This window comes from Homo sapiens, chromosome 3, assembly GCF_000001405.40.
Source record: "Homo sapiens chromosome 3, GRCh38.p14 Primary Assembly".
NCBI classification, from domain to species: domain Eukaryota; kingdom Metazoa; phylum Chordata; class Mammalia; order Primates; family Hominidae; genus Homo; species Homo sapiens.
In genome coordinates this window covers 38,932,654-38,948,442 of record NC_000003.12, presented here as the reverse complement: position 1 = coordinate 38,948,442, position 15,789 = coordinate 38,932,654, and the positions used below count along the sequence as shown (strand labels likewise).

Genomic DNA, 15,789 nt, shown 5'->3' with positions numbered 1-15,789 from the left:
AGTAGAGAAGTGTCAGCAAGCAGGCAGGAGGAGCTAGTACCTATCATTTTAATCATTAAAACCCTGGCATGTAGAGTTAAATACACCATTAGTTAAAATATTTAAAGCAGTAAGAAGAGGCATCAATAAAATATCAAAATCAAAGGCACAGAAGGAGAGCCATATTGTACCACTTATTAATGTGGGGTGACTCATCTCAAAGAGAGGTTTGTTTCTGCCCCAAAATTGTATGTCTGTTCAAAGGAAAGGCGCAGAATTTCCAAAGCAGGTCTTGGGCTCCTGGCTCATATTTTTAAAAAACCCCGTGGCTCATTTCATTATTATGGGGGCAAAGAAAAATACCCTAGCACAGTTTTCCCTGCAGCCAGATAACCATCAGACCAGTCAATCCCAGCAGCTCATTAAAGGAAGGTTGATGGTTGGCAGTGGCTGACGTTCTGGCACCTGAGCCAAGGTAGCACTCACAGTGCTAACGTTGGGCCTGGGTGCCGAGGTCTGTCTCTCCTGCCTGAGAACATGCTGTATTACATGGCCAAGTAGTACTTTTTGCAAATCTGAAAGGAGCCATCAGTTGGGGAGAAAGGAATGACTCTTACTTTCTGAAGGCTTTTGTAACTGATAGCCATGGGGACAGATATGGGGACAGCTAGATTACAGTTACATGGAAAAAGGGAGGTCTGGAGGTGGATGTTAGAAGCATGTTAGTGACAGGTTGTTGTCCAGGGGCTGCTTCATTCCCAGTGCCCAGGGAGTCATGCTAGGAGAAAATGGGCAGAGGTTCAGTGTTCTTTAATGGGACTCCACTGGGCACTTTGTGGGGGGGCGGGCATAATGTACCATTGGCAAGTTTGTCCTGTTTGGCATCCCTGGGTCTTCCCAGTAAAAGGCCGGTAGAGCCCATAGTCATTACAGCAGACAACCAAAAATACTCACACACATTTCCAAATGCCTTCTGTAGGGGCAATGCCCACCTCCCCTGCTGGTTAAGAACCACAGGGAAATTTGCCCCTATGTCCACAGAGGTAAAGAAAGAGCAAATCCAGGAAACTTGGTGACTTTTTTCTTGAAGATCATCAAGGTTAGAATTGACTGGTTATTTCACACAGCATTTCTCAGACCTGTGGCATAGCAAACATGGACCCTTTAGGTCACTTATTCTAAGATTCATTGCAAAGTTTTCGTTAATAATCAAAATAATTTAAAATAATCTGCTGAATCTAAATGTCCAAGCTCAATTTCTGCCTCTTCAAGTTCTCTTCTAGTCCCTTTCCCCGTTGATACGTACCATGGAGTACAATATTAAGGGTTTTCTTTTCCCCAGTTATTCCTCTATACTCCTAATTTTGGTATTTTCAGGTCCTGTGTTTTCCATCTCTGATTCTTCTGGAGTATCCCATTGGGTAAATATTCCACAGCCCAACAGTTTATGTTATAATTTTCTCTAAATGAATTCATGATAAATATTGTTTTGTCACTGCATTTAATTCCTGTTGTGTATGTGTGTGTTTTCTTGTATTGTTTTTTTTGTTTTGCAGACATTTATGGTGTTAAACAGAAAGAGGACAATCTACCGCTTCAGTGCCAAGCATGCCTTGTTCATTTTTGGGCCTTTCAATTCAATCAGAAGTTTAGCCATTAGAGTCTCAGTCCATTCATATCCTTTCATTGCACCTTTTACTAAGTCCAGATCATTTGAAAAGTGCACGTGCCCCACGGTGTTCATGTTATTGGATGGAAGCAAATAGCTAATTCTTTCTACAAATACTGGCTGAGTGCCTACTGCTGCAGGCAGGGACTGTGCTGGATGTGAGCAAGATGTCGTCTCCTTCTCTGGGGTCCTATGGCCTCAGAAGGGCATAGACTAAAAGGCAGGCAACTTCTTTAGTGAGATTGGTCGTGTGAAAGTGGTAGCAGGGAGAGGCACTGCTGTGCTTTAGAGGCATCAAGGATGGCTTCTTAGAGGAAGGTGCATCTAAGCTGACACCTAAAGAGTTGTAAACTGGCAACCTGTGCAGTATATTGAGTTGATAATGTGTTGTGTTGGACCTACACAGTATTTAAAACTTTGAAAAACACTTTCTAACATGAATACTCCAGATTTCCAGCTTTTCTTGAAAGATGGAAACTGGCAAGGGTAGGTTCCCATTTCTGTTAATACCTGACAAAAATGGGTAGAGTAAGGAATTGCTGCCTCTTTGGAGGGGGCATGTAAGCTCTGTCTCACCACCTCTGCACCCCTCTTGTGGCTGAACACCAGCCCATTTTACCCATTTATATGCCTTTTCAGGCTCTTAAAACTTAGGGTTTGCAATGTCAGTCTTAAAATGTAAAGGCAGGTAGGAATTATTAAGCATTTCTGCTGTATGCCAGGGTTGGGGGAGACACTAGGAAGTTTTAGACAGGGAAATGAGAAAAAGATATGGGTTGGTAGATTTAGTAAAATATTGAGGAGAATGGCAATGAATAACTATTTGGGTTTGGTTCCCTAGAAGCAGAGCCTGATATGGGCATTCTTATTTAAGTGATTTAACAGAGGAGTGCTTTCTGGAGAAGGAGAAAGGGAAGCAGAAGGGGGGAAAACAAAGAGCCAAGCAAGGATATGGTCTCAGCTGAGTCACCTTCATTCTGATCCCACGAAGAACTCTGGAGCATGAATTGCACCACAGAATTGTCCCACTTTGAAGCAAGGGCCTAAGTCAGTCAGACATGTAGAAGGGGGTGTGTAGCTCTCCAAGTGAGGAGGCTGCCATTCAGCAGGGGACAATTCTCCACAGGAGGGGACAGTTGTGAGTTGTTCTCATCCAACATTCACAGTCAGAAGATAGATGCACCTGCAGAAAAGGGGACCATCAGGGGCACCCCCAGTCTTACCCAGTAGCTAATGATGCATGCCATCCTGCAACATATCTGCCTTAATGGATGCTGGCCACATTGTTCAGCATGTTCATTATCGGCACCGTTATCATCAACTGCGTGTTCATGGCTACAGGGCCTGCTAAAAACAGCAACAGTAACAATACTGACATTGCAGAGTAAGTATTTTTCCTTCACTCACCTGTCCTAAGTTTTTAAACAAATATACCTAAGACAGTTAATGATTACACTGGAGAGAAAGAAAAAGTCACTAATAATTCTAACACATATGTTGGCAGAATCAGTTTTATTTTTGACCTTTATTTTTTTACAATTTGTAATGAACAGCACACATATGTTCACATTTTAAGTGGTTTTCTTTGTGTTTACATAAGTTTTATAGGTATCCATTTTGATGGTTATATAATATTTTATCAGGTGAATAAACCATAATGTACTTCACCACTCTAGCATTTTAGTAGATTGTAACATTGTCATAAAAATCTTTTTGCATAAAGCTGTATTTATGTATTTACTTATTCTTTGTTTTTGTTTGTAAAAAATTGTTATGGGAGTTCACTATGCCAAAAATAAAGCTATTCTTTTTTTATTTTTTTTTATTTTTTGAGACAGGGTTTTGCTCTTGTTGCCCAGGCTGGAGTGCAATGGCACTATCTCAGCTCACTGCAACCTCTGCCTCCCAGGTTCAAGCGATTCTCTTCCCTCAGCCTCTCAAGTAGCTGGGATTACAGACGCCTGCCACCGTGCCCAGCCAATTTTTTTGTATTTTTAGTAGAGACAGGGTTTCACCATGTTGGCCAGGCTGGTCTTGAACTCTTGACCTCAGGTGATCTGCCCACCTTGGCCTCCCAAAGTGTTGGGATTACAGGCGTGAGCCACTGCACGCAGCCCTATTCTTAAATTATTATTTTCTTGAGATACACTCTTAGAAATGGATTTTCTAGGCTGGGCGTGGTGGCTCATGCCTGTAATGCCAGCACTTTGGGAGGCCAAGGCGGGTGGATCACGAGGTCAGGAGATCAAGACCATCCTGGCTAACATGGTGAAACCCCATCTCTACTAAAAATACAAAAAATTAGCCAGGCGTGGTGGCGGGTGCCTGTAGTCCCAGCTACTCGGGAGGCTGAGGCAGGAGAATGGCATGAACCTGGGAGGCGGAGCTTGCAGTGAGCCCAGTGAGCCACTGCATTCCAGCCTGGGCAACAGAGTGAGACTCTGTCTCAAAAAAAAAAAAATGGATTTTCTAGATAAAAAGGTACATTTTAATGCTTTTAATGATATATATAGACAAAATGTTTTCCAAAAAGTTTGTATCAATTTGCTCTGCCATCAGCAGTGTATTCTAATAACCAATTATATCACATTCTTGCTAGCATTAAATTTTTTCTTCTCTAATTTATGGAGTTAAAAATATTAGCATTTCTTTAATTTCCAGATGGGTTAGACTTAAAACAATTTTAATTGACACATAATAATTGTACACATTTCAGGGTACATGTGATATTTTGATACATGCATACACTGTGTAATGATCACTTAAGGGTAATTGGGATATCAATCCCAATTGGACATTTATTATTTCCTTGTATTGGAAACATTTCAAATCTTCTCTTCTAGCTATTTTGAAATATACAATAAATTATTATTAACTAAATAGTCATCCCACTGTGCTATTGAACACTAGAATTTATTCTTTCTGTCTGTTTTTTGTACTCATTAATCAACTTCTCTCCATTCCTCACCTCTCACCCAGTCTTTCCCCATCTCTGGTAACCACCATTCCATTCTCTACCTCCATGTGATCCACTTTTTCAGTTCCCATATATGAATGACAACATGAAATATTTGATTTAGACTCTTTTAATGTTTTCATTTCTGAATTGTGTGTTTCCATCTTTGCTTCTGTATCATTTTTATTTCTTTTCTAATCAGTTTGAGTTCTCTGTATAACCAAAATATTAACTTTTTATCATTTGCATTGGCTTTTCAGACATATGAATTAATGTTTTAACTTAAAAGTTCTATATTTGTATAAATATTTTCTTATCAAAAGTTCCAGTTTTTCTAGTTTAACATAATTACTGCTTTAATCTTTCAGGAACATATTGAATGCAAATTGAATAAATGAGACCATTTTTTCTAACTCCTATTTAATTATGCAATATAAACCACTGCAATCGATATATAGACCATTTCAATTACCCCCCAAAACGTCTCATGCCTCTTTGCAGTTAATCCCCGATTCCCACTCCCAACCCCAGACAAACATCGATCTCATTTCTGTCATTCTAGACTTGTTTTGCCTTTTTTAAGAATTTCGTATACATTTCATATGCTATGTATGATACTATATTTTTGTATCTGGTTTCTTTCATTTAGCATAATGCTTTGAGATGCATCCATGTTGTTGTGTATATTTCTACATTTTTTTTTTCTTTTTGTTGCTAAGTTGGATTCCATTGAATGGATATAGTTTTCCCATTTATCTATTGATGCACATTTGCATTATTTCCAGTTTAGGGCTATTATGAATAAAGTTGCTGCGAACACTTCCGTATAAAAATCTTTTGTGGATATTTTTGCATTTCTCTGGGATAAATACCTAGGTGTAATTGCTGGGCCCTGCGATAAGTATATATGTAACTTTCTAATAAACTGCTAAACCTTTTTCAAATTGACAGCATAATTTTACATTCATATCAGCAATATATGAAAGTTTCAAAGTCTTTATTAATTTTTTCATTCAATTTGCTTTGATTTTAATTTGCTCTTCTTTTTCTAGCTTCTTAAGTTGGAAGCTTAAATAGTTGGTTTTAGATTTTTCTTCTTATACAATTGTATAAAGCTATGCATTTCTGTCCAAGAACTGCTTTAGCTGCATTCCACAGATGTCAATACACTGTGTTTTTATTACCTTTTGGTTCAAAATATTCCCTACATTTTCTCATGATTTCTTCTTTGTCCCATATGTCATTTAGAAGTGTGTTTTTTAATATTTCCAAATATTTTATACCTTTCTAGTTGTTTTCTGGTTGTCTGATTATTATCTAATTTCAGTTCAGTTATGATCAGAGAATACACTCTGTAAAATTTCAATCTTTTGAAATAAAGAGAAACATCTTTTATAGTCTATCTTGGGAAATGTTTCACATGCACTTGGAAAGAATGTGGATTCTGCCACATTCTTAAATACTCCTTAAAAGGTCAGTTAAGTTAAGGTGGTTGATAGTGTCATTTAGATCTTTTGTACCTTTACTGATTTTTACTTAGCATTTTTATGAATTACTGAAAGAGAGGCTTGAAATCTCTATCTATGATTGTGGATTTGTCTGTTCTTTCTCTCTTTTTGTCAAATTTGGCTTTGTGTATTTTGAAGCACTATTATCAGGTACATACATATTTACGATGATTATTATTATCCTCCTGATGTATTCATTCTTTTATTATTATGGAATGTCTTCTTTGTCTCTAATAATACTCATTTAAATATTTGTTTTGTCTAATATTAATATAGCTACTTCAGCTTTCTTAAGCTCTTTGTTTGCATGGTATATCTTTTTCCATTCTTTTACTCTCAAACCTTCTGTGTCTTTGTATTTGTAGCGTATATCTTGTAAACAACATATAGTTGGTTTTTGCTTTTTATGCAGTCTATCAATCCAGTCTCTGACTTTTGATGACTAAAGTTCATTTACATTTAATATAGTTATATAATTGGATTTTGCTTTGCTATTTTTCTATTGGTTTTCTATTTATCTCTTTTTTTTTTTGTCATTGTTGTTGTTCCTTTGCTACTCCATTATTTCTCCATTCCTGCTTCCTTTTGTGTTAATCATGTATATTTAGTATTTCATTTTAATCCTCTGCTGGCCTTTTAGCTTTACCTATTTGCATTTTTTAGTGGTTTCTTCACATATTAAACAATGCATTGTTAAATTGGCAAAATAGAGTTAACGTTGAATTCCTTCAAGTGAAACAGGAACCATGCCACAGTTTAGTCCCCTGTTTGTTTTTTATCATATAGTTATGCTAATGTACACAATAAACCCAACAATACAGTTTATCATTTTTGCTTTTAATGGGCACATGCCTTTTAAAGACATTTTTTTTCCTGTAGATCCAAGTTATCTTTTGGTAGTATTTCTTTTTAGCCTGAACAACTTCCTTTAATATATCTTGTGGTTCAGTTCTGTTGGCAACCCATTCTCAGTTTATATTGATCTGAAAATGTCTTTATTTCATACTCATTTATGAAGTAGAGTTTCATTGTATATAGAATCAGTGCTTGACAATTTGTTTTTCTAGCACTTTAAGTATGTCATTTCCATGTTTTATGCCTCCTGTTGCTTAGCTCTCTCTTGCATGCTTCCAGGATTTCCTCCCTAAATTTCCAGCTGCTCTGCCAGCTCTGAACCCCACCCTCGGCCACCTTAAATCTTCAGGACTGCAGCCATTTGCCAGTGTTGGGGTGGGAGTGGGGAAGTTGGAAAACACTCTCAGACCAAAACAGTTAAACATTTTCATAATTCTTATGCATTGCAGGTACCTTCTTTTAAGGGGAAACTCTGCCCCAGTTTCTGCCTCCTTTTGTTTACCTTCCAGGGCCTTCAAATAATTGTCCTTATATATATATTTTCCAGTTTAATACTCATTATCTGTGGGAGGGTTTGCCCAGCTACTTCATGTCTTCATCACAATTGAAGCAGGCATCAATGGTCTCTTAATTTTGCTTATTATTTTTTTCTTTTCCTTTATTAAATTTAACAAACTTTCCTCTATGCCCGTGGATTTTGATTTATAGTTAGAAACACTTTCTCTAGCCTTGAGTTATAAAAGGACTCTCTCATATTTTCTTACAGTGCTTTTATAGTTTCCTTTTTTAAAAATTTAAATCCTTGAATAATTTGGAATTCATTCAAGGGTAGGGTGTCATAAATAGATCTGACTTCATAGTTCCGTCCCAGATGTCTATCCATTTGTCCCAACACCATTTGTTAAATAGTCCACCTCTTATCCTCTGATGTGAAATGTTACTTAGGTATTCAGATCTATTTCTGGACTTTCTTTTCTCTTCCATTGGTCTGCGTTTTCATATGCCAGAACCACACTTTTTAACTATCAAGATTGTCTAATGTTGTAATGTCTAGGAGTGCTAGAGGTTCCTTTTGAGAATTTTTATGGCTCTTGTTGATTTTTTCATGTAAATTTTATAGTCAACTTGGTTAGTTTTATTGACATGATGAAAGGATTTATAAATTAACCTAGAGGAAACTGACATCTTTATGAGGTTGGAACTCATTGAGAACATGACATATTTTTCATTTGTTAAAATCTTCTTTTGTGTTCCTCTAATTGCTTTAAAGTTTTCTTCATACAGATCTTCCACAATTCTTGTTAAATTTGTTTGTGAATTTTACTGTTTTTTGTTGCCATTATAAATGTGGTCTTTTCTTTCATTATGCCTTGTAACTAGTTGCCTTGTTATATAAAACTATATATATATATATATATGTATGTACATCAGTATTATACATATCAATATTTTATATATATATAAAATTGTGTGCTATTTTTGATAAAATTTGTTGTCAGCATTTGTTTACTCTTTTGATGACTTGTATGGCTCCTCCCCATCTTTCCCATGTATTAAATTTTTTTTTTTTTTGAGATGGGGTTTCACTCTTGTCGCTCAGGCTGGAGTGCAATGGCGCGATTTTGGCTCACCACAACCTCCTCCTCCCGGGTTCAAGCGATTCTCCTGACTCAGCCTCCAGAGTAGCTGGGATTACAGGCATGCGCCACCACACCTGGCTAATTTTGTATTTTTAGTAGAGATGGGGTTTCTCCATGTTGGTCAGGCTGATCTCTAACTCCCGACCTCAGATGATCCACCCGCCTCGGCCTCCCAAAGTGCTGGGATTACAGGCAAGAGCCACTGCGCCCGGCCTTGAAATGTTTTTAATAGCATGGAAATGAGGTATTCTGGGAGAAAGAAAGAGAGAATTATCCAGTAAAGTGATTTATATCTGCAAATCTTTTGGAGAGGGATATAAGGAATTAGTGAAATGGGAAGGAATTCATTTATTAATAGCTTTTTCATTTTTCATTGGTAATCTTTTTCAGTTTTAAAATTTCTCTGAATATTTTGCTATATTCTTCTTCTCATTTATCATTTTGTTCATATGTTTTCTTTTTTCTGTGATTAGAATTGCCAGAGGCTTGCCTATTTTTATGTTTTTTTAAACTATATCTTAAATTCCATTTTAAAAACTATTCTATAGTTTTTCTATAACTATGTCTTAAATTCTATTTGTCTTAAATTCTATGTTTTTCTAAAACTATATCTTAAATTCTATTTATGTATTAAATTCTATTTTTATTTTATTAGTATTTTTTGAGACAGAATCTCGCTTTCTTGCCCAGGCTGGAGTGCAGTGGAGCAATCTCTACTCACTGCAGCCTTCGCCTCCTGGATTCAGGAGATTCTTGTGTCTCAGCCTCCCAAGTGACTGGGATTACAGACATGCACCACCACGCCTGGCTAATTTTTGTATTTTTAGTAGAGATGGGGTTTTGCCATGTTGCCCAGGTCTTGAACTCCTGGACTCAAGTGATCCGCCTGCCTAAGCCTCCCAAAGTGCTGAGATTACAGGCATGAGCCACAGCACCTGGCCTTAAATTCTATTTAAAAATATAATATTTTTGGCCGGGCGCCGTGGCTCACCGCCTGTAATCCCAGCGCTTTGGGAGGCCGAGGCGGGCAGATAACCTGAGGTCGGGAGTTCAAGACCAGCCTGACCAACATGGAGAAACCGCGTCTCTACTAAGAATACAAAATTAGCCGGGCATGGTGGCACATGCCTGTAATCCCAGCTACTCAGGAGGCTGAGGCAGGAGAATCGCTTGAACCTGGGAGGCAGAGGTTGCAGAGAGCAGAGATGATGCCATTGAACGCCAGCCTGGGCAACAAGAGCAAAACTCTGTCTCAAAAAAAAAAAAAAAAAAAAAAAAAAAAAAATATATATATATATATATATATATATATATATATATATATATGATATTTTTCCTTCTGCCTTCTTTTATTTTCTTCATTATACATTCAATAGGACATAACATTTTCTAAAATATGAATTTGAATGTTTAGTTCATGCATTTTCCTTCTTTTTTGTTTTTTATTTTATTATTATTATACTTTAAGTTTTAGGGTACATGTGCACAATGTGCAGGTTAGTTACATATGTATACATGTGCCATGCTGGTGTGCTGCACCCATTAACTCGTCAATTAGCATTAGGTATATCTCCTAAAGCTATCCCTCCCCACTCCGCCCACCCCACAACAGTCCCCAGAGTGTGATGTTCCCCTTCCTGTGTCCATGTGTTCTCATTGTTCAATTCCCACCTATGAGTGAGAATATGCGGTGTTTGGTTTTTTGTTCTTGCGATAGTTTACTGAAAATAATGATTTCCAATTTCATCCATGTCCCTACAAAGGACATGAACTCATCATTTTTTATGGCTGCATCGTATTCCATGGTGTATATGTGCCACATTTTCTTAATCCAGTCTATCATTGTTGGACATTTGGGTTGGTTCCAAGTATTTGCTATTGTGAATAGTGCCGCAATAAACATACGTGTGCATGTGTCTTTATAGCAGCATGATTTATAGTCCTTTGGGTATATACCCAGTAATGGGATGGCTGGGTCAAATGGTATTTCTAGTTCTAGGTCCCCGAGGAATCGCCACACTGACTTCCCCAAGGGTTGAACTAGTTTACAGTTTACAGTTCCACCAACAGTGTAAAAGTGTTCCTATTTCTCCACATCCTCTCCAGAACCTGTTGTTTCCTGACTTATTAATGATTGCCATTCTAACTGGTGTGAGATGGTATCTCATTGTGGTTTTGATTTGCATTTCTCTGATGGCCAGTGATGGTGAGCATTTTTTCATGTGTTTTTTGGCTGCATAAATGTCTTCTTTTGAGAAGTGTCTGTTCATGTCCTTCGCCCACTTTTTGATGGGGTTGTTTGTTTTTTTCTTATAAATTTGTTTGAGTTCATTGTAGATTCTGGATATTAGCCCTTTGTCAGATGAGTAGGTTGCGAAAATTTTCTCCCATTTTGTAGGTTGCCTGTTAACTCTGACGGTAGTTTCTTTTGCTGTGCAGAAGCTCTTTAGTTTAATTAGATCCCATTTGTCAATTTTGGCTTTTGTTGCCATTGCTTTTGGTGTTTTAGACATGAAGTCCTTGCCCATGCCTATGTCCTGAATGGTAATGCCTAGGTTTTCTTCTAGGATTTTTATGGTTTTAGGTCTAACGTTTAAGTCTTTAATCCATCTTGAATTAATTTTTGTATAAGGTGTAAGGAAGGGATCCAGTTTCAGCTTTCTACATATGGCTAGCCAGTTTTCCCAGCACCATTTATTAAATAGAGAATCCTTTCCCCATTGCTTGTTTTTGTCAGGTTTGTCAAAGATCAGATAGTTGTAGATATGCGGCGTTGTTTCTGAGGGCTCTGTTCTGTTCCATTGATCTATATCTCTGTTTTGGTACCAGTACCATGCTGTTTTGGTTACTGTAGCCTTGTAGTATAGTTTGAAGTCAGGTAGCGTGATGCCTCCAGCTTTGTTCTTTTGGCTTAGGATTGACTTGGTGATGTGGGCTCTTTTTTGGTTCCATATGAACTTTAAAGTAGTTTTTTCCTATTCTGTGAAGAAAGTCATTGGTAGCTTGATGGGGATGGCATTGAATCTATAACTTACCTTGGGCAGTATGGCCATTTTCACGATACTGATTCTTCCTATCCATGAGCATGGAATGTTCTTCCATTTGTTTGTATCCTCTTTTATTTCATTGAGCAGCGGTTTGTAGTTCTCCTTGAAGAGGTCCTTCACGTCCCTTGTAAGTTGGATTCCTAGGTATTTTATTCTCTTTGAAGCAATTGTGAATGGGAGTTCACTCATGATTTGGCTCTCTGTTTGTCTGTTGTTGGTGTATAAGAATGCTTGTGATTTTTGTACATTGATTTTGTATCCTGAAGACTTTGCTGAAGTTGCTTATCAGCTTAAGGAGATTTTGGGCTGAGACAATGGGGTTTTCTAGATATACAATCATGTCATCTGCAAACAGGGACAATTTGACTTCCTCTTTTCCTAATTGAATACCCTTTATTTCCTTCTCCTGCCTAATTGCCCTGGCCAGAACTTCCAACACTATGTTGAATAGGAGTGGTGAGAGAGGGCATCCCTGTCTTGTGCCAGTTTTCAAAGGGAATGCTTCCAGTTTTTGCCCATTCAATATGATATTGGCTGTGGGTTTGTCAGAGATAGCTCTTATTATTTTGAGATACGTCCCATCAATACCTAATTTATTGAGAGTTTTTAGCATGAAGGGTTGTTGAATTTTGTCAAAGGCCTTTTCTGCATCTATTGAGATAATCATGTGGTTTTTGTCTTTGGTTCTGTTTATATGCTGGATTACATTTATTGATTTGCATATATTGAACCAGCCTTGCATCCCAGGGATGAAGCCCACTTGATCATGGTGGATAAGCTTTTTGATGTGCTGCTGGACTCAGTTTGTCAGTATTTTATTGAGGATTTTTGCATCCAAGTTCATCAAAGATATTGGTCTAAAATTCTCTTTTTTGGTTGTGTCTCTGCCTGGCTTTGGTATCAGGATGCTGCTGGCCTCATAAAATGAGTTAGGGAGGAGTCCCTCTTTTTCTATTGATTGGAATAGTTCAGAAGGAATGGTACCAGTTCCTCCTTGTACCTCTGGTAGAATTTGGCTGTGAATCCATCTGGTCCTGGACTCTTTTTGGTTGGTAAGCTATTGCCACAGTTTCAGAGCCTGTTATTGGTCTATTCAGAGAGTCAACTTCTTCCTGGTTTAGTCTTGGGAGGGTGTATGTGTCGAGGAATTTATCCATTTCTTCTAGATTTTCTAGTTTATTTGCATAGGGGTGTTTGTAGTATTCTCTGATGGTAGTTTGTACTTCTGTGGGATCGGTGGTGATATCCCCTTTATCATTTTTTATTGCTTCTATTTGATTATTCTCTCTTTTCTTCTTTATTAGTCTTGCTAGGGATCTATCAGTTTTGTTGATCCTTTCAAAAAACCAGCTCCTGGATTCATTAATTTTTTGAAGGGTGTTTTGTGTCTCTATTTCCTTCAGTTCTGCTCTGATTTTAGTTATTTCTTGCCTTCTGCTAGCTTTTGAATGTGTTTGCTCTTGCTTTTCTAGTTGTTTTAATTGTGATGTTAGGGTGTCAATTTTGGATCTTTCCTGCTTTCTCTTGTGGGCATTTAGTGCTATAAATTTCCCTCTACACACTGCTTTGAATGTGTCCCAGAGATTCTGGTGTGTTGTGTCTGCTCTCGTTGGTTTCAAAGAACATCTTTATTTCTGCCTTCATTTCGTTATGTACCCAGTAGTCATTCAGGAGCAGGTTGTTCAGTTTCCACGTAGTTGAGCGGTTTTGAGTGAGTTTCTTAATCCTGAGTTCTAGTTTGATTGCACTGTGGTCCGAGAGACAGTTTGTTATAATTTCTGATCTTTTACATTTGCTGAGGAGAGCTTTACTTCCAACTATGTGGTCAATTTTGGAATAGGTGTGGTGTGGTGCTGAAAAAAATGTATATTCTGTTGATTTGGGGTGGAGAGTTCTGTAGATGTCTATTAGGTCCGCTTGGTGCAGAGCTGAGTTCAATTCCTGGGTATCCTTGTTAACTTTCTGTCTCGTTGATCTGTCTAAGGTTGACAGTGGGGTGTTAAAGTCTCCCATTATTATTGTGTGGGAGTCTAAGTCTCTTTGTAGGTCACTCAGGACTTGCTTTATGAATCTGGGTGCTCCTGTATTGGGTGCATATATATTTAGGATAGTTAGCTCTTCTTGTTCAATTGATCCCTTTACCATTATGTAATGGCCTTCTTTGTCTGTTTTGATCTTTGTTGGTTTAAAGTCTGTTTTATCAGAGACTAGGATTGCAACCCCTGCCTTTTTTTGTTTTCCATTTGCTTGGTAGATCTTCCTCCATCCTTTTATTTTGAGCCTATGTGTGTCTCTGCACATGAGATGGGTTTTTTCCTGAATACAGCACACTGATGGGTCTTGACTCTTTATCCAATTTGCCAGTCTGTGTCTTTTAATTGGAGCATTTAGTCCATTTACATTTAAAGTTAATATTGTTATGTGTGAATTTGATCCTGTCATTATGATGTTAGCTGGTTATTTTGCTCATTAGTTGATGCAGTTTCTTCCTAGCCTCAATGGTCTTTACAATTTGGCATGATTTTGCAATGGCTGGTATCGGTTGTTCTTTTCCATGTTTAGTGCTTCCTTCAGGAGCTCTTTTAGGGCAGGCCTGGTGGCGACAAAATCTCTCAGCATTTGCTTGTCTGTAAAGGATTTTATTTCTCCTTCACTTATGAAGCTTAGTTTGTCTGGATATGAAATTCTGGGTTGAAAATTCTTTTCTTTAAGAATGTTGAATATTGGCCCCCACTCTCTTCTGGCTTGTAGAGTTTCTGCCGAGAGGTCTGCTGTTAGTCTGATGGGCTTCCCTTTGTGGGTAACCCGACCTTTCTCTCTGGCTGCGCTTAACATTTTTTCCTTCATTTCAACTTTGGTAAATCTGACAATTATGTGTCTTGGAGTTGCTCTTCTCAAGGAGTATCTTTGTGGCGTTCTCTGTATTTCCTGAATCTGAATGTTGGCCTGCCTTTCTAGATTGGGGAAGTTCTCCTGGATAATATCCTGCAGAGTGTTTTCCAACTTGGTTCCATTCTCCCTGTCACTTTCAGGTACACCAATCAGACGTAGATTTGGTGTTTTCACATAGTCCCATATTTCTTGGAGGCTTTGTTCGTTTCTTTTTATTCTTTTTTCTCTAAACTTCCCTTCTCGCTTCATTTCATTCATTTCATCTTCCATCACTGATACCCTTTCTTCCAGTTGATCACATCAGCTCCTGAGGCTTCTGAATTCTTCACGTAGTTCTCGAGCCTTGGCTTTCAGCTCCATCAGCTCCTTTAAGCACTTCTCTGTATTGGTTATTCTAGTTATACTTTCGTCTAAATTTTTTTCAAAGTTTTCAACTTCTTTGCCTTTGGTTTGAATTTCCTCCTGTAGCTCGGAGTAGTTTGATCGTCTGAAGCCTTCTTCTCTCAACTCGTCAAAGTCATTCTCCGTCCTGCTTTGTTCCGTTGCTGGTGAGGAGCTGCGTTCCTTTGGAGGAGGAGAGGTGCTCTGCCTTTTAGAGTTTCCAGTTTTTCTGCTCTGTTTTTTCCCCATCTTTGTGGTTTTACCTACTTTTGGTCTTTGATGATGGTGATGTACAGATGGGTTTTTGGTGTGGGTGTCCTTTCTGTTTGTTAGTTTTCCTTCTAACAGACAGGACCCTCAGCTGCAGGTCTGTTGGAGTTTGCTAGAGGTCCACTCCAGACCCTGTTTGCCTGGGTACCAGCAGCGGTGGCTGCAGAACAGCGGATTTTTGTGAACCGCGAATGCTGCTGTCTGATCATTTCTCTGGAAGTTTTGTCTCAGAGGAGTACCCGGCCGTGTGAGGTGTCAGTCTGCCCCTACTGGGGGGTGCCTCCCAGTTAGGCTGCTCGGGGGTCAGGGGTCAGGGACCCACTTGAGGAGGCAGTCTGCCTGTTCTCAGATCTCCAGCTGGGTGCTGGGAGAACCACTGCTCTCTTCAAAGCTGTCAGACAGGGACATCTAAGTCTGCAGAGGTTACTGCTGTCTTTTTGTTTGTCTGTGCCCTGCCCCCAGAGGTGGAGCCTACAGAGGCAGGCAGGCCTCCTTGAGCTGTGGTGGGCTCCACCCAGTTGGAGCTTCTCGGCTGCTTTGTTTACCTAAGCAAGCCTGGGCAATGGTGGGTGCCCCTCCCCCAGCCTCCCTG

The 15,789-nt window shown here is 38.6% G+C and overlaps 1 protein-coding gene across 5 annotated transcripts in view; it reads left to right on the top strand.

Moving 5' to 3' along the window:
- Positions 1-15,789, top strand: part of SCN11A (sodium voltage-gated channel alpha subunit 11) — a 206,181-nt gene that overhangs the window by 103,502 nt on the left and 86,890 nt on the right. For 4 of the 5 annotated variants that reach the window (NM_001349253.2, XM_047447378.1, XM_017005650.2 and 1 more), the window contains 2 exons: positions 1,536-1,654; positions 2,931-3,032. In NM_001349253.2, coding sequence (NP_001336182.1) covers positions 1,536-1,654; positions 2,931-3,032 — 221 coding nt within the window. Of the gene's footprint in view, positions 1-1,356; positions 1,401-1,535; positions 1,655-2,930; positions 3,033-15,789 lie in introns of all 5 variants that reach the window. The other variant, XM_017005651.2, reaches the window with a different exon arrangement.